The sequence below is a fragment of the Homo sapiens genome, chromosome 5 (genome assembly GCF_000001405.40).
Source record: "Homo sapiens chromosome 5, GRCh38.p14 Primary Assembly".
In the NCBI taxonomy this organism is placed as follows: Eukaryota; Metazoa; Chordata; class Mammalia; order Primates; family Hominidae; genus Homo; species Homo sapiens.
This window is the reverse complement of record NC_000005.10, coordinates 46,346,239-46,365,358: the sequence shown is the minus strand read 5'-3', so window position 1 is coordinate 46,365,358 and position 19,120 is coordinate 46,346,239. Positions and strand designations below refer to the sequence as shown.

The window sequence follows — 19,120 nt, the reverse complement described above, 5'->3', positions numbered from 1 at the left end:
TAACTTGTGTTTTCCGCATTCAACTCAAGGAGTTGAAACTTTCTTTTGATAGACCAGTTTGAAGCAGTCTTTTTGTAGAATCTGCAAGTGGACATTTGGAGAGCTTTGAGGCCTATGGTGGAAAAGGATATATCTTCACATAAAAACTAGAAAGAAGCATTCTCAGAAACTTCTTTGTGATGATTGAATTCAATTGACAGATTTAAACATACCTTTTGATACAGAAGTTTGAAACAGTGGTTTTATAGAATCTGCAAGTGGATATTTAGACTGCTTTGAGGCCTTCGTTGGAAACGGAAATATCTTCAGATAAAAACTAGACAGAAGCATTCTCAGAAACTGCTTTGTGATGTGTGCATTCAACTCAAAGAGTTGAATCTTCCTTTTTATACAGCAGGTTGGAAACAATCTTTTTGTAGAATCTGTAAGAGGACATTTGGAACACTGTGAGGGCTATGGTGGAAAAGGAAATATCTTAAAATAAAAAAATAGAAGCATTCTCAGAAACTTCTTTGTGATGCATGCATTCAGCTCACAGAGTTGATCCTTCCTTTTGATAGAACAGTTTTGAAACACTCTTTTTTAAGAATCTGCAAGTGGATATTGGGACCGGTTTGAGGACTTCTTTGGAAAAGGGAATATCTTCACATAAACAATAGATAGAAGCATTCTCAGAAACTTCTTTGTGATATTTGCATTCAACTCACAGAGTTGAGCATACCTTTTCATAGAGCAGTTTTGAAACACTCTTTTTGTAGAATCTGCAAGAGGATATTTGGACCGCTTTGAGACCTTCGTTGGAAATGGGAATATCTTCGTATAAAAAGTAGAGAGAAGCATTCTCACAAACTTCTTTGTGATGCGTGCATTCAACTAACAGAGATGAACTTTACTTTTGATACAGCAGTTTTGAAACTCTTTTTGTAGAATCTGCAAGTGGACATTTGGAGCACTTTGAGGGCTATGGTGGAAAAGGAAATATCTTCACATAAAAACTAGACAAATGCATTCTCAGAAATTCTTTGTGATATTTGCATTCAACTCACAGAGTTGAGCCTTCCTTTTGTTAGAGCAGTTTTGACACACTTTTTTTGTAGAATCTGCATGTGGATATTTGGAATGCGTTGTGGCCTTCTTTGGAAATGGGAATATCTTCTCTTAAAAATTTGACCAAAGCATTATCAGAAACTACTTTGTGATGTGTGCATTCAACTCACTGAGTTGAACCTTGCTTTTGACAGTGCTGTTTTGAAACACTCTTTTTGTGGAATCTGCAAGTGGCTATTTGGACCGGTTTGAGGCCTTCATTGGAAATGGAAAAATCTTCCAATAAAAACTAGACAGAAGCATTCTCAGAAACTACTTTGTGATGTTTGCATTTAACTCACAGAGTTGAAACTTCCTTTTGATAGCTTTATCAAAAGTTTTGAAACAGTCTTTTTGTAGTATCTGCAAATGGACATTTGGAAAGCTTTGAGGCCAAGGTGGAAAAGGAAATATCCTCACATAAAAACTAGAAAGAAGCATTCTTAGAAACTTATTTGTGATATGTGCATTCAACTCACAGAGTTGAAACTTTCCTTTGATAGAGCAGCTTTGAAACATTCCTTTTTGTAGAATCTGCAAGTGGATATTTGGAGAGCTTTGATGCCAAAGTGGAAAAGGAAATATATTCAAATAAAAACTAGACAGAAGCTTTCTCAGAAACTTCTTTGTGATGTGTGCATTCAACTTGTAGAGTTGAACCTTCCTTTTGGTACAGCAGTTTCAAAACCCTCTTTTTGTAGAAACTGCAAGTGGATATTTTGACAGCTTTGTGGCCTTCATTGGAAAATGGGAACATTGTCTCATAAAAATTTGACAGAAGCATTCTCAGAAACTTCGCTGTGATGTGTGCATTCAACTCACAGATTTGAACATACCTTTTAACACAGCAGTTTTGAGACGCTCTTTTCGTAGAATCTGCAAGTGGATATTTGGAGGGCCTGGTGGCCTTCAATGGAAACGAGGATACCGTCACATAAAAACTAGATAGAAGCATTCTCAGAAACTTCTTTGTGATATGTGCACTCAACTCACAGATTTGAACCTTTCCTTTGATAGAGCAGTTTTGAAACACTCTATTTGCAGAATCTGCAAGTGTACATTTGGAGCGCTTTGAGGTCTACAGTGGAAAAGGAAATATCTTCACATAAAAATTAGACAGAAGCATTCTCAGAAACTTCTTTGTGATGTGTGCATTCAACTGACAGAGTTGAAACTTCCTTTTTATAGGGAAGTTATGAAACACTTTTTTTGAAGAATCAGCAAGTGGACATTTGGAGCGTTTTGAGGGCTATGGTGGAAAAGGAAATATCTTCACATAAAAACCATACAGAAGCATTCTCAGAAACTTCTGTGTGATGTGTGCATTCAAGCCACAGAGTTGAACATTTCTTTTGACAGAACAGTTTGGAAACACTCTTTTTGTAGAATCTGCAAGTGGATATTTGGAGCTATTTGAGGCCAAGATGGAAAAGGAAAAATCTTCACATAAAAACTAGACAGAAGCATTCTCAGAAACTTCTTTGAGTTGTTTGCATTCAACTCACAGAGTTGAACATACCTTTTCTTACAACAGTTTTGAAACACTCTTTTTGTAGAATCTGCAAGTGGATATTTCGACTGCATTGTGACTTTCATTGGAAACGGGAATATTGCCTCATAAAAATTTGACAGAAGCATTCTCAGAAACTTTGTTGTGATGTGTGCATTCAACTCTCAGATTTGAACATACCTTTTCATACAGCAGTTTTTAAACACTGGTTTTTTAGAATCTGCAAGTGGATATTTGGACTGCTTTGTGGCCTTCATTGGAAACGGTAATAGCTTCTCATAAAAACTTGACAGAAGCTTTCTCAGAAACTTCTTTGTGATGTGTGCATTCAACTCACAGAGTTGAAACTTCCTTTTGATAGAGCAGTTTTGAAACACTCTATTTGCAGAATCTGCAAGTGGACATTCGGAGTGCTCTGAGGGTGATGGTGGAAAAGGAATTATCTTCACATAGAAACTAGACAGAAGCATTCTCAGAAACTTCTTTCTGATGTGTGCATTCACCTCATAGAGTTGAACCTTTCTTACGATAGAGCAGTTTTGAAACACTCTTTTTTTAGAATCTGCAAGTGGATATTTGGACTGGTTTTAGGCCTTCGTTGGAATCGGGAATATCTTATGAAAAAATCTAGACAGAAGCATCCTCAGAAACTTCTTTTTGAGGTGTGCATTCAACTCACAGAGATGAACCTTTCTTTTTATAGAGCAGTTTTGAAGTACACTTTGTGTAGAATCTGCAAGTGGACATTTAAAATGCGTCGACGCCTATGGTAGAAAAGGAAATATCTTCCGATGAAAACTAGACAGAAGCATTCTCAGAAACTACTTTGTGTTGTGTGCATTCTACTCACAGAGTTGAACCTTTCTTTTGATAGAGTAACTTTGAAAAACACTTTTGTAGAATCTGCAAGTGGACACTTGGAGAGCTTTGAGGTCTATGGTGGAAAAGGAAATATCTTCATATAAAAACTAGACTGATGCATTCTCAGGAACTTCTTTGTGATGTTTGCATTCAAAGCAGAGTTGAACATTCCTTTTCATAGAGAAGTTTTGAAACACTCTTTTTGTCGAATCTGCAAGTAGATATTTAAACTGGTTTGAGGCCTTTGTTGGAAACGGGAATATCTTCACATTAAAACTAGAAAGCAGTATTCTCAGAAACTTCATTGTGATGTTTGCATTCAACTGACAGAGTTGAACCTTCCTTTTGATAGAGCAGGTTTGTAACACTCTTTTTGTAGAATCTGCAAGTGGATATTTGGACTGCTTTTTGGCCTTCATTGGAAACGGGTATATGTTGTCATAACTAGACAGAAGCATTCTCAGTAACTTCTTTTTGATGTTTGCATTAAACTCACAGAGTTGAATCTTCTTTTTGATAGAGAAGTTCTGAACCACTCCTTTTGCAGAATCTGCAAGCGGATATTTGGACTGCTTTGTGGCGTTCGCTGGAAACGGGATTAACTTCTCATAAAAACTAGATAGAAGTATTCTCAGAAACCACTTGGTGATGTACGCATTCAATTCACAGGGTTGAACCTTCCTTTTGACAGAGCAGTTATGGAACACTCTTTGTGTAGAATATGTTAGTTCACATTGGAGTGCTTTGAGGGTTATGGTGGAAAAGGAAATATCTTCATATAAAAACTAGATAAAAGCATACTCAGAAACTTCTTTGTGATGTGTGCATTCAGTTCACAGACTTGAACCTTTCTTTTGATAGAGCAGTTTTGAAACATTCTTTTTGTGGAATTTGCAAGTGGATATATGGACTGCTTTGAGGCCTTCTTTGGAAACGGGAATATCTTCACATAAAAACTAGACAGAAGTATTCTCAGAAACTTCTTTGTGATGTTTTCATTCCTTTCTGGAGAGCAGTTTTGAAACACTCTTTTTGGGATATTTGGACTGCTTTGTGGCCTTCATTGGAAATGGGATTATATTCTCACAAAAACTAGACAGAGCATTCTCAGAAACTTCTTTCTGATGTTTGCATTCAACTCACAGATTTGAACCTTCCTTTTGATAGAGCAGTTTTGAAACTCTCTTTGTGTGGAATATGCAATTTGACATTTGTAGTGCTTTGAGGGTTATGGTGTGAAAGGAAATATCTTCACATAAAAACTAGACAGAAGCATTCTCAGAAAGTTCTTTGTGATGTGTGCATTCAACTCACAGACTTGAAGCTTGCTTTTGATAGAGTAGTTTTGAAACACTCTTTTTATGGAATCTGCAAGTGAATATCAGTACCGGTTTGAGGTCTTCATTGGAAACGGGAATATCTTCACATAAAAACTAGACAGAAGCATTCTCAGAAACTTCTTTGAGATGTGTGCATACAACTCACAGAGCTGAACCTTCCTTTTGAAAGAGCAGTTTTGAAACTCTCTTTGTGTAGAATCTGCAAGCGGACATTTGGAGTGCTTTGGGGCCTATGGTAGAAAAGGAAATATCTTCATATAAAAACTAGACAGAAGCTTTTCCCGAAACAACTTTGTGTTGTGTGCATTCCACTCACAGAGTTGAACCTTTCTTTTGATAGAGCAGATTTGAAACACTCTTTTTGTAGAATCTGCAAGTGGACATTTGGAGAGCTTTGAAACCTACGGTGGAAAAGGAAATATCTTCACATAAAAACTAGACAGAAGCATTCTCAGAAACTTCTTTGTGGTATGTGCACTCAACTCACAGAGTTGAACCTTCCTTTTGATAGGGCACTTTTGAAACACTCTTTTTGTATAAACTGCAAGTAGACAGTTGGGGCGCGTTGAGTGCTATGCTGGAGAAGGAAATATCTTCAGTTGAAAACTAGACAGAAGCATTCTCAGAATCTTCTTTGGGATGTGTGCATTCAACTCACAGAGGTGAACCTTTCTTTTCATAGAACAGTTTTGAAACACTCTTTTTGAACAATCTGCAAATGGATATATGGCCTGCTCTGTGACCTTCGTTGGAAATGAGAATATCATCTCATAAAAACATGATGGAAACATTCTTAGAAACTTCTTTGCAATGTGTGCATTCAACTCGCAGAGTTGAAACTTCATTTTGATAGAGCAGTTTTGAAACACTCTTTTGCAGAATCTGCATGTGGACATTTGGAGCACTTTGTGGGCAATGTTGGAAAAGGAAATATCTTCAGATAAAAACTAGATAGAAGCATTATCAGAAACTTCCTTGTGATGTGTGCATTCAACTCAAAGAGTTGAACCTTCCTTTTTATAGAGCAGTTTTGAAACACTCTATCTGCAGAATCTGCAAGAGGACATTTGGAGCATTTTGAGGGCGATGGTGGGAAAGGGAATATCTTCATAGAAAAACTAGACAGAAGCATTCTCAGAAAGTTATTTGTGATGTGTGCATTCAACTCAGAGATTTGAACCTTTCTTTTGATAGAATAATTTTGAAACACTCTTTTTTTAATATCTGCAAGTGCATATTTTGACCGGATTGAGGCCTTCATTGGAAATGGGAACATATACACATAAACACTAGACAGAAGCATTTTCAGAAACTTCTTTGTGATGTGTGCATTCAAGTCACAGAGTTGAAACTTCCATTTGGTAGAGCAGTTTTGAAACACGCTATGTAGAATCTGCAGGTGGATATTTGGAATGCTCTGTGGCCTTCATTGGAAACGGGATAATATTCTCATAAAAACTAGACAGAAGCATTCTCAGATACTTCTTTGTGATGCTTGCATTCAATTCACAGAGTTGAAGCTTCCTTTTGATACAGCAGTTTTGTAACACTCTTTGTGTAGAAACTGCAAGTGGACATTTGGAGTACTTTGAGGGTTATGATGGCAAAGGAAATATGTTCACATTAAAACTAGACAGAAGCATTCTCAGAAACGTCTTTGTGATGTGTGCATTCAACTCACAGAGCTGAACCTTCCTTTTGATAGAGCACTTTTGAAACACTCTTTTTGTGGAATCTGCAAGTGGACATTTGGAGTGCTTTGAGGGGTATTGTAGAAAAGGAAATACCTTCGCATTAAAACTAGACAGAAGCATTCTCAGAAACTTCTTTGTGGTGTGTGCATTCAACTCACAGTGTTGAACCTTCCTTTTGATAAAGCTGTTTGGAAACACTCTTTTTGTAGAATCTGCAAGCGGACATTTGGAGCCCTTTAGGGCTATCATGGAAAAGGAAATAGCTTCACATTGAAACTATACAGAAGCATTCTCAGAAACTTCTTTGTGATATTTGCATTCAACTCACAGAGTTGAACACTCCTTTTGATAGAGCAGTTTTGAAACACTCTTGTTTTAAGAATCTGCAAATGGATATTTGGACCGGTTCGAGGCCTTCATTGGAAAGAGGAATATCTTCACATAAAAACTAGACAGAAGCATTCTCAGAAAGTTCTTTGTGATGTGTGCATTCAACTCACAGATTTGAAGCTTGCTTTCGATAGAGCAGTTTTGAAACACTCTTTTTTATGGAATCTGCAAGTAGATAGGTGTACCGGTTTGAGGTCTTCTTTGGAAACGGGAATATCTTCACATAAAAACTAGACAGAAGCACTCTCAGAAACTTCTTTGAGATGTGTGCGTTCAACTTACAGAGCTGAACACTCCTTTTGATAGAACAGTTTTGAAACTCTCTTTGTGTAGAATCTGCAAGTGGACATTTGGAGTGCTTTGAGGCCTATCATAGAAAAAGAAATGTCTTCATATAAAAACTAGACAGAAACATTCTTAGAAACTACTTTGTGATGTGTGCATTCAACTCACAGACTTGAACTTTTCTTTTGATAGAGCAGTTTTGAAACACTGTTTTTTTAGTATATACAAGTGGATATTCGATCGGATTGAGACCTTTGTTGGAAAAGGGAATATCTTCACATAAAAATTAGACAGAAGCATTCTCAGAAGCTTCTTTGTGGTGTGTCCATTCAACTTACAGAGCTGAAACTTCCTTTTTATAGAGCAGCTTTGAAACACTCTTTTTGTGGAATCTGCAAGCGGACATTTGGAGAGCTTTCAGGCCTATGTTAGAAAAGGAAATACCTTCACATAAAAACTAGACAGAAGAATTCTCAGAAACTTCTTTGTGATGGTTGCATTCAACCCGCTGATTTGAAGCTTCCTTTTGATAGAGCAGTTTTGAAACACTCTTTCTGTAGATTCTGTAAGCAGACATTTGGAGCGCTTTGAGGAGTATCATGGAAAAGGAAATATCTTCACATTAAAACTAGACAGAAGCATTCTAAGAAACTTCTTTGTGATGTGTCCATTCAACTCACAGAGCTGAACCTTCTTTTTGATAGATCAGCTTTGAAACACTCTTCTTGTGGAATCTGCAAGCAGACAATTGGAGTGCTTTCAGGCCTAGGGTAGAAAAGGAAATACCTTCACATAAAAACTAGATAGAAGAATTCTCAGAAACTTCTTTGTGATGGGAGCATTCAACTCACAGAGTTGAACCTTCCTTCTGATTGATAGAGCAGTTTTGAAACACTCTTTCTGTAGTTTCTGTAAGCGGACATTTGGAGCACTTTGAGGACTACCATGGAAAAGGAAATATCTTCACATTAAAACTAGACAGAAACATTCTAAGAAACTTCTTTGTGATGAGTGCATTCAACTCAGCGAGGTGAACCTTTCCTTTGATGGAGCAGTTTTGAAACACTCTTTTTATAAGAATCTGCAAGTGGACCTTTGTACCAGCTTGAGGCCTTCGTTAGAAACGGTAATATCTTCACATAAAAACTAGACAGAAGAATTCTCAGAAACTTCTTTGTGATGTGTGCATTCAACTCACAGATTTCAACCTTGCTTTTGATAGAGCAGTTTTGAAACACACTTTTTTTAGTATATGCAAGTGGATATTGGGATGGGATTGAGGCCTTCATTGGAAAAGGAATATCTTCATGTAAAAACTAGAAAGAAGCATTCTCAGAAACTTCTTTGTGATGTGTTCATTCAATTCACTGAGCTGAACCTTCCTTTTGATAGAGCAGCTTTGAAACACTCTTTTTGTGGAATCTGCAAGCGGACGTTTGGAGTGTTTTCAGGCCTATGGAAGAAAAGGAAATATCTTCACATAAAAGCTAGACAGAAGAATTCTCAGAAACTTCTTTGTGATGGGTGCATTCAACTCGCCGAGTTGAACCTTCCTTTTGATAGAGCAGTTTTGAAACACTCTTTCTGTAGATTCTGTAAGCGGACATTTGGAGCGCTTTGAGGAGTATCATGGAAGAGGAAATATCTTCACATAAAAACTAGACAGAAGAATTCTCAGAAACTACTTTGTGTTGTGTGTACTCAAGTCACAGAGTAGAACCCTCCCTTTGATAGAGCAGTTTTCAAACACTCTTTTTGTAGAATCTGCAATTGGACATTTGGATATCTTTGAGGGCTATGGTGTATAAAGAAATATCTTCACCTGAAAATTAGACAGAAGCATTCTCAGAAACTTCTTTGTGATGTGTGCATTCAACTCACATAGTTGAACATTCCTTTCGATAGTGCAGTTTTGAAACACTTTTTTGTGGATTCTGCAAGTGGACATTTGTAGCGCTTTCAGGGCTATGTTCGAAATGGAAATATCATCACATAAAATCTAGACAGAAGCATTCTCAGAAACATATCTGTGATGTGTGCATTCAGCTCACGGAGTTTGAAACACTCTTTCGATAGAATCTGCAAGTGAATATTTGGAACGATTTCAGGACTTTGTTGGAAACTAGAATATCTTCACATAAAAACTTGACAGAAGCATTCTCAGAAACTTCTTTGTGATGTGTGCATTCAACTCACATTGTTGAACTTTCCTTTCGATAGAGCAGTTTTGAAGCTCTCTTTTTGTGGAACCTGCTAGTGGACATTTGGAGCACTTTGAGTTCTATTGTGGAAAAAGAAATACCGTCACATAAAAACTAGACAGAAGCATTATCAGAAACATCTTTGTGATGTGTGCATTCAACTCATTGAGTTGAACCTTCCTTTTGACAGAGCAGTTTGGAAACACTCTTTCTGCAGGATCTGCAGCTGGACATTTGGAGCGCTTTGCGTTCTATTGGGGAAAAGGAAATATCTTCACATAAAAACTAGACGGAAGCATTCTCGGAAACTTCTTTGGGATGTGTGCATTCAACTCATACAGTTGAACATTCGTTTTGATGGAGCAGTTTTGAAACACTGTTTTTGTAGAATTTGCAAGTGGATATTTAGAGCGCTTTGTGGGCTCTTGTCGAAAAGGGAATATCTTCACATACAAACTAGCAGAAGCATTCTCAGAAACTCCTTTGGGATGTATGCATTCAACTCACAGATTTGAGCCTTCCTTTTAATAGAGCAGCACTGAAACACTATTTTTGTAGAATCTGCAAGTGGATATTTGTACCGCTTTGAATCCTTCTTTGGAAATGGGAATATCTTCACATAAAAACCAGATAGAAGCATTCTCAGAAACTTCTTTGTGATGTGTGCATTCAACTCACAGAGATGAACCTTCCTCTTGATAGAGCAGTTTTGAAACACTCTTTTTGTAGAATCAGCAAGTGGACATTTGCAGTGATTGGGGGCTGTGGTGGAAAAGGAAATATCCCCACATAAAAACTAGACAGAAGCATTAACAGAAACTTCTTTGTGATGTTTGCATTCAATTCAGAGTGGAACACAACTTTTCATAGAGCAGGTTTGAAACACTCTTTTTGTAGCATCTGCAAGTGGATATGTAGACCGGTTTGAAGCCTTTGTTGGAAACGGGAATATCTTCACATAAAAACTAGACAGAAACATTCTCAGAAACTTCTTTGTGATGTTTGAATTCAACACACAGAGTTAAAACTTTCTGTTGACAGAGCAGTTTTGAAACACTCTATTTTTAGAATCTGCAAGTGGATATTCGGACCGGTTTGAGGCCTTCATGGGAAATGGAAATATCTTCACATAAAAACTAGACAGAAGCATTCTCAGAAACTTCTTTGTGATGTGTGCATTCAACTCGCAGAGTTGAACCTTCGGTTTCATAGAGCAGTTTTGAAACACTCTATTTGTAGAATCTGCAAGTGGACATTTTGAGCGCTTTTAGGGCTATGGTAGGAGAGCAAATATCTTCACACAAAAACTAGAGAGAAGCATTCTCAGAAACTTCTTTGTGATGTGTGCTTTAAACTCAAAGAGTTGAACCTTTCTTTTGATAGGACAGTTTTGAAACACTCTTTTTTTAGAATCTGCAAGTGGATATTTGGACCGATTTGAGGTCTTCATTGGAAACGGGAATATCTTCACTTAAAAACTAGACAGAAGCATTCTCAGACACTCCTTTGTGATGTGTGCATTCAACTCAGAGGTGACCCTTCCTTTTATTAGAGTAGTTTTGAAACACTCTTTGTGTAGGATGTGCAAGTGGACATTTTGTGCGCTTTGAGTCCTACGGTAGAAAAGGAAATATGTTCATATAAAATCTAGACAGAAACATTATCAGAAACTACTTTGTGTTGTGTGCAGTCAACTCACAGAGTTGAACCTTCCTTTTGATAGAGCAGCTTTGAAACACTCTTTTTGTAGAATCTGCAAGTGGACATTTGGAGAGCTTTGAGGCCTATGGTAGAAATGGAAATATCTTCACATAAACACTAGACAGAAGCATTCTTAGAAACTTGTTTGTGATGTGCGCATTCATCTCACAGAGTTGAACATTACTTTTGATAGAGCAGTTTTGAAACACTCTTTATGTAGATTCTGCAAGTGGACATTTGGAGCACTTTGAGGCCTATGGTGGAAAAGGAAGTATCTTCACATAAAAACTAGACAGAAGACTTCTCAGAAACTATTTTGTGATGTGTGCATTCAGCTCACAGAGTTGAACCTTTCTTTTGATAGGGCAGTTTTGAAACACTCTTTTTGTACAATCTGAAAATGGATATTTTGAATGTTTTGTGGTCTTCGTTGGAAAGGGGATTATATTCTCATAAAAACTGACAGAAGCATTCTCAGAAACTACTTTGTTATGTATGCATTCAACTCACATATTTGAACTTTTTGTTGATAGAGCAGTTTCTAAACACTCTTTTTGTAGAATCTGCAAGTATATATTTGAAGCACTCTGAGGGCTATGGTGGAAAAGGAAATATCTTCACATGAAAACTAGACAGAAGCATTGGGAGAACCTTCTTTGTATTGTGTGCATTCAACTCAGGGAGTTGAACTTTCCTTTTGATACAGCAGTTTTGAAACACTCTTTTTGTAGAATCTGCAAGTGGACATTTGGTGCGCTTTGAGGTCTAAGGTGGAAAAGGAAATATCTTCACATAGACAGTAGACAGAAGCATAGTCAGAAACTTCTTTGTGATGCGTGCATTCAACTCATAGAGTTGAAGCTCTCTTATGATAGAGCAGTTATGAAACACTCTGTTTTTAGAATCTGCAAGTGGATATTTGGACTGCGTTGAGGATTTCTTAGGAAAAGATATTATTTTCACATAAAAACTAGACAGAAGCATTCTCACACACTTCTTTGTGACGTGTGCATTCAGTTCAACGATGTGAACCTTACTTTTGGTAGTGCAGTTTTGAAACACTCTTTTTGCAGAATCTGCAACTGGATATTTGGACGGCTTTGCAGCCTTCATTGGAAATGGGATTATATTCTCATAGAAACTAGACAAAAGAATTCTCAGAAACTTATTTGTTATGTATGCATTCAACTCACAGAGTTGAACTCTTCTTGTTAGAGCAGTATTGAAACACTCTTTTTGTAGAATCTGCAAGTGGACATTTGGAACGCTTTGAGGGCTATGGTGAAAAAGGAAATATCTTCACATAAAAACTAGACAGAAGCATCTCAGAAACTTCTTTGTGATGTGTGCATTCAGCTCACAGAGTTGAACCTTCCTTATGATTGAGCAGTTTTGAAACACTGTTTTTTTTAGAATCTACAAGTGGATATTTGGACCATTTGAGGCCTTCATTGTAAACGGGAATATCTTCACTTAAAAACTAGACAGAAGCATACTCAGAAACTTCTTTATGATGTGTGCATTCAACTCACAGATGTGACCATTCCTTTTGATAGAGTAGTTTTGAAACACTGTTTGTGTAGAATCTGCCAGCGGACATTTGGAGCTCTTTGAGGTCTATGGTAGAAAAGGAAATATCTTCATATAAAAACTAGACAGAAGCATTCTCAGAAACTACTTTGTGTTGTGTGCATTCAACTCACAGAGTTGAACCTTTCTTTTGATAGAGCAGCTTTGAAACACTCTTTTTGTAGAATCTGCAAATGGACATTTGGGGAGCTTTGAGGCCTATGGTGGAAAAGGAAATATCTACACATAAACACAAGATAGAAGCATTCTCAGAAAGTTCTTTCTGATGCTTTTATTCAACTCACTGAGTTGAACCTTCCTTCTGGTAGAGCAGTTTTGAGACACTCTTTTTGTAGAAACTGCAAGTGGATATTTTGACTGCTTTGTGCCCATCATTGGAAACTGGTATATCTTCTCATAATTATATGGAAGCATTCTCAGAAACATCTTTGTGATGTTTGCATTCAACTCAAAGAGTTGAAGCTTCCCTTTCATAGAGCAGTTTTGAAATACTCATTGTGTGGAATCTGCAAGCGTACATTTGGAGAGCTTTGAGGGTTATGGTGGATAATGAAATATCTTCACGTAAAAACTAGATAGAAGTATTCTCAGGAACTTTTTTGTGATGGTTGCATTCAACTCACAGAGTTGAACATAGCTTTTCATAGAGTAGCTTTGAAACACACTTTTTTTAGAATATGAAAGTGTATATTTGGACGGGTTTGTGGCCTTCATTGGAAACGGGTATATCTTCTCATAAAAACTTGATAGAAAAATTCTCAGAAACTTCTTCATGATGTGTGCATTCAACTCACAGATTTGAACCTTCCTTTTGATAGAAAAGTTTTGAAACACTCTATTTGCAGAATCTGCAAGTGGACATTTTGAAGGCTTTGAGGGCGATGGTAGACAAGGAAATATCTTCACATAGAAACTTGACAGAAGCATTCTCAGAAACTTCTTTGTGATGTGTGCATTCAACTCATAGAGTTGAACCTTCCTTATGATAGAGCCGTTTTGAAACACTCTTTTTTTAGAATCTGCAAGTGGATATTTGGACTGATTTGAGGCCTTCGTTGGAAAGGGGAATATCTTCACATAAAAACTAGACAGAAGCATTCTCAAAAACTTCTTTGTGATGGTTGCATTCAACTCACGAGTTGAACCTTCCTTTTGATAGAGCAGTTTTGAAACTCTTTCTGTAGATTCTGTAAGAGGACATTTGGAGCACTTTGAGGACTATCATGGAAAGGGAAACATCTTCACATTAAAACTAGTCAGAAGCATTCTAAGAAACTTCTTTGTGATGTGTGCATTCAACTCACCGAGGTGAACTTTTCCTTTTATAGAGCAGTTTTTAAACACTCTTTTTTTAAGAATCTGCAAGTGGACATTTGGAACAGTTTGAGGCCTTCGTTGGTAACGGGAATATCCTCACATTAAAACTAGACAGAAGCATTCTCAGAAACTTCTTATTGATGTGTGAATTCAACCCAGAATTGAACCATTCTTATGATAGAGAAGTTTTGAAAAACTCTTTTTTTGAATCTGCAAGTGGATATTTGGACAGGTTTGAGGCCCTCGTTGGAAACGGGAATACCTTCACATGGAAACTAGACAGAAGCATTCTCAGAAACTTCTTTGTGATATGTGCATTCACCTCACAGAGTTGAACCTTCCTTTTCATAGAGCCGTTTTGAAACACTCTTTGTGTAGAATCTGCAAGTGGATATTTGGAGTGCTTTGAGGGCTATGGTGGGAAAGGAAATATCTTCACATAAAACCTAGACAGAAGCATTCTCAGAAACTTTTTTGTGATGTGTGCATTCAACTCACAGAGTTGAACCTTCCTTTCAGTGGAGCAGGTGTGAAACTCTCTTTTTGTAGAATCTGCAAGTGGATATTTTGACCGATTTGGGGCCTTCTTTGGAAACGGGTTTATATTCTCATAAAAACCAGACAGAAGCACTCTCTTAAACTTCTTTCTGATGATTGCATTCAACTCACAGAGTTGAACATACTTTTTCATAGATCATCTTTGACACAATTTTTGTAGAATTAGCAAGTGTTTATTTGGACAACTTTGATGCCGTCCGTGGAAACGGGTATATCTTCACATAAAAAGTAGACAGAAGCTTTCTTAGAAACTTCTTTGTGATGTGTGCATTCAATTCACAGAGTTGAACCTTCCTTTCAATAGAGCAGTTTTGAAACACTCTTTTTGTAGTATCTGCAAGTGGACATTTGGAGCTCTTTGAGGGCTATGGTGGAAAAGGAAATATCTTCACATAAAAACTAGACAGAAGCATTCTCAGAAAGTTCATTGTGATGTTTGCATTCAACTCACAGAATAGAACACACCTTTTCATAGAGGAGTTTTGAAAACCTCTTTTTGTAGAATCTGCAAGTGTACTTTTGGAGCACTTTGAAGGCTATGGTAGAAAAGGAAATCAGTTCACATAAAAACTAGACAGAAGCATTCTCAGAAACTTCTTTGGATGTGTGCATTCAACTCACATAGTTGAAGCCTCCTTTTGATAGAGCAGTTTTGAATCACTCTTTTTGTAGAATCTGCAAGTGGACAATTGGATAGCTTTGAGGCCTATGGTGGTAAAGGAAATATCTTCACATATAAACTAGACAGAAGCATTCTCAGAAACCTCTTTGTGATGCATGCATTCAACTCACAGAGTTGAAGCTTACTTTTTATACAGCAGTTTGGAAACACTCTTTTTGTAGAATCTGCAAGAGGACATTTTGAGCACTTTGAGGGCTATGGTGCAAAAGGAAATATCTTCAAATAAACAATAGACAGAAGCATTCTCAGAAATTTATTTGTGATGCGTGCATTCAGCTCACAGAGTTGAACCTTTCTTTTGATATAGCAGTTTTGAAACACTCTTTTCGTGTAATCTGCAGGTGGATATTTGGAGCGCTTTGAGGCCTTCGGTGGAAACGGGAATATCTTCACATAAAAACTAGACAGAAGCATTCTCAGAAACTTCTTTGCGATGTGTGCATTCAACACCGGGAGTTGAACATTCCTTTCGATAGAGCATTTTTGAAACACTCTTTTTGGAAAATCTGCAAGTGGATATTTTAAGCTCTTTGAGGCCAGCGGTGGAAACGGGAATATCTTCACATAAAAAGTACACAGAAGTATTCTCAGAAAATTCTTTGTGATGTGTACATTCAACACAGAGAGTTGAACCTTCCTTTTCATTGAGCAGTTTTGAAACACTCTTTTTGTGGAATCTAGAAGTGGATTTTTGGAGCGCTTTGTGGCCTATTGTAGAAAAGGAAGTATCTTCATATAAAAACTAGACAGAAGCATTCTCAGAAACTTCTTTGTGATGTGTACATTCAACTCACAGAGTTGAACCTTCTTTTTAATAGAGCAGTTTTGAAATACTCTTTTTGTGGGATCTGCAAGTAGACATTTGGAGTGCTTTGAGGCATATTATGAAAAAGGAAATATCTTCATAGAAAAAATAGAGAGAAACATTCTTGGAAACTTGTTTGTGATGTTTGCATTCTACTCACAGAGTTGAACATTCCTTTTCATAGAGCAGTTTTGAAACACTCTTTTGTAAAATCTGCAACTCGATAATTGGACCACTTTGAGACCTTTGTTGGAAACGGGTATATCTTCACATAAAAACTAGACAGAAGCATTCTCACAAACTTCATTGTGATGTGTGCTTTCAAATCACAGAATTGAATCTTTCTTCTGATAAGGCAGTTTTGAAACACTCTTTTTGTAGAATCTACAAGTGGATATTTGCAGTGCTTTGTGGTCTACAGTGTAAACGGGAATATCTTCATATAAAACTAGACAGAAGCATTCTCAGAAACTTCTTTGTGATGTGTTCATTCAACTCACAGACTTAAACATTACTTTTCATAGAGGGCTTTTGAAACACCCTGTTTGTAGAAGCAGCAAGTGGACATTTGGTGAACTTTGAGGCATTTGGTGAAAAAGGAAATATCTAAACATAAAAACTATACAGAAGCATTCCCAGAAACTTCTTTGTGATATTTGCAATTACCTCACCGAGATGAACATTTCTTTTCATAGAGCTGTTTTGAAATACTCTTTTTGTAGAATCTGCAAGTGGATATTGGAGCACTTTGAGGCCTTTGGTAGAAACGGGAATATCTTCACATAAAAACTAGGCTGAAGCATTCCCAGAAACTGCTTTGTGATATATGCATTGAACTCACAGAGTTGAACCTTTCTTTTGATATAGCTGTTTTGAAACACTCATTTTTTAGAATCTGCAAGTGCACATTTAGAGACCTTAGAGGCCTGTGTGGAAAAGGAAATATCTTTACATAGAGACTAGAACAAGGATTCTCAGTAACTTCTTTGTGATGTGTGCCTTCAACTCCTAGAATTGATCCTTTTTTTTGACAGAGCAGTTTTGAAAAACTCTTTTTGTAGAATCTGTAAGTGGATATTTTGTTCCCTTTGAGGGCTATGTTCGAAAACAAAATATCTTCAGATAAAAGCTAGACAGAAGCATTATCACAAACAGATTTGTGATGAGTGCATTCAACTCACAGAGTTGAAATTTTGTTTTGATAGAGCAGTTTTGAAACACTCTTTATGTAGAATCTGTAAGTGGATATTTTGAGTGCTTCGAGGCCTATTGTGGAAAAGGAAATAACTTCACATAAAAAATAGACAGAAGCATTCTCCGAAACTTCTTTGTGATGTGCGCATTCCACTCACAGATTTGAAACTTTCTTTTGATAGAGCAGTTTTCAAACACTCTTTTTGTAGAATATGCAAGAGGATATTTGGAGTGCTTGGAGGGCTATGGTGGAAAAGGAAATATCTTTACATAAAAAGCAGACACAAATATTCTCAGAAACTACTTTGTGATGTGTGTATTCAACTCACACAGTTGAACCTTTCTTTTGATTGATAGAGCAGTTTTGAAACAATCTTTTTGTAGTATTTAAAGGTGGATATTTGGAACGCTTTGAGGCCTATGGTGGAAACTGAAGTATCTTCACATAAAAACTAGAAAGAAACATTCTCCAAAACTTCTTTTTGATAAGTGCATTCAACTCCAAGAGTTGAATCATTCTTTTGATAGAGCAGTTTTGAAACACTCTTTTTGTCTAATCTGCAAGTGCAATACTGGAGCACTTTGAGGCCTGCGGTGGAAAAGGAATTATCTTCACCTAAAAACTAGACAGAAGTATTCTCAGAAACTTCTTCCTGATGTGTGCATTAAACTCACAGTGTTGAAATTTTCTTTTTATAGAGAAGTTTTGAAACACTGTTTTTTTAGAATCTGCATGTGGATATTTGCAGCGCTTGGAGGCCTATGGTGGAAAAAGAAATATCTTCACATAAAAACTAGAAAGAAACATTCTCCGAAACTTCTTTGTGATTTGTGCATTCAACTCACAGAGCTGAACCCTTCTTTTGATACAGCAGTTTTGAAACACTCTTTTTGTAGAATCTGCAAGTGGATAGTTGGATAGCTTTGAGGCCTACGTTGGCAAACGAAATATCTTCACATAAAAACTAGTCAGAAGCATTCTCAGAAACTTCTTTTTGATATGTGCCTTCAACACACAGAGTTGAACATACCTTTTCAAAGAGCAGTTTTGAAACACTCTTTTTGTAGAACCTGCAAGTGGATATTTAGACTGGTTTGAGGATTTCATAAGGAAAGGGAGTATCTTCATATAAAAACTAGACAGAAGCATTCTCAGAAACTTCTCTGTGATGATTGCATTCAACTCAGAGAGTTAAATATACCTTTTCATAGAGCAGTTTTTAAACACTCTTTTTGTAGAATCTGCAAGTGGATATTTGGAGGGCTTTGGGGCCTTCGGTGGAAACGGGAATATCTTCACATAAAAACTAGAGAGAAGCATTCTCAGAAACTTCTTTGTGATGTGTACATTCAACACAGAGAGTTGAACCTTCCTTTTCATAGAGCAGTTTTGAAACACTGTTTTTGTAGAATCTACAAGTGGATTTTTGGAGTGCTTTGAAGCCCATGGTAGAAAAGGAAGTATCTTCATATAAAAACTAGACAGAAGCATTCTCAGAAACTTCTTTGTGATGTGTGCATTCAACTCACAGAGTTGAACCTTCTTTATGATAGAGCAGTTTTGAAACACTCTTTTTGTAGAATCTGCAAGTGGACATTTGGAACGCTTTGAGGCATATTATGAAATAGGAAATATCTTCACATAAAAGCTAGACAGAAGCTTTCTCAGAAACTTCTTTGTGATGTGTGCATTCAACACACAGAGTTGAAACTTTCTTTTGATAGGGCAGTTTTGAAACACTCTTTTTGCAGAACCTGCAAGTGGATATTTAGATCGCTTTTAGTGCTGTGGTAGAAAAGGTAATACGTTCACGTAAACACCAGACAGAAGCATTCTCAGAAACTACTTTGTGATGTGTGCATTCAACTCACAGAGTTGAAAATTTCTTTTGATAGAGCAGTTTTG

General features: G+C 36.9%; 1 annotated feature.

Moving 5' to 3' along the window:
• Positions 2,051–2,751: an enhancer, noted in NCBI's record as "NANOG hESC enhancer chr5:46362710-46363410 (GRCh37/hg19 assembly coordinates)". NCBI's record gives its function as "activates a minimal SCP1, AML or CMV promoter by ChIP-STARR-seq in primed H9 embryonic stem cells {active_cell/tissue: H9 hESC(primed)}" and the evidence as "EXISTENCE:reporter gene assay evidence [ECO:0000049][PMID:30033119]".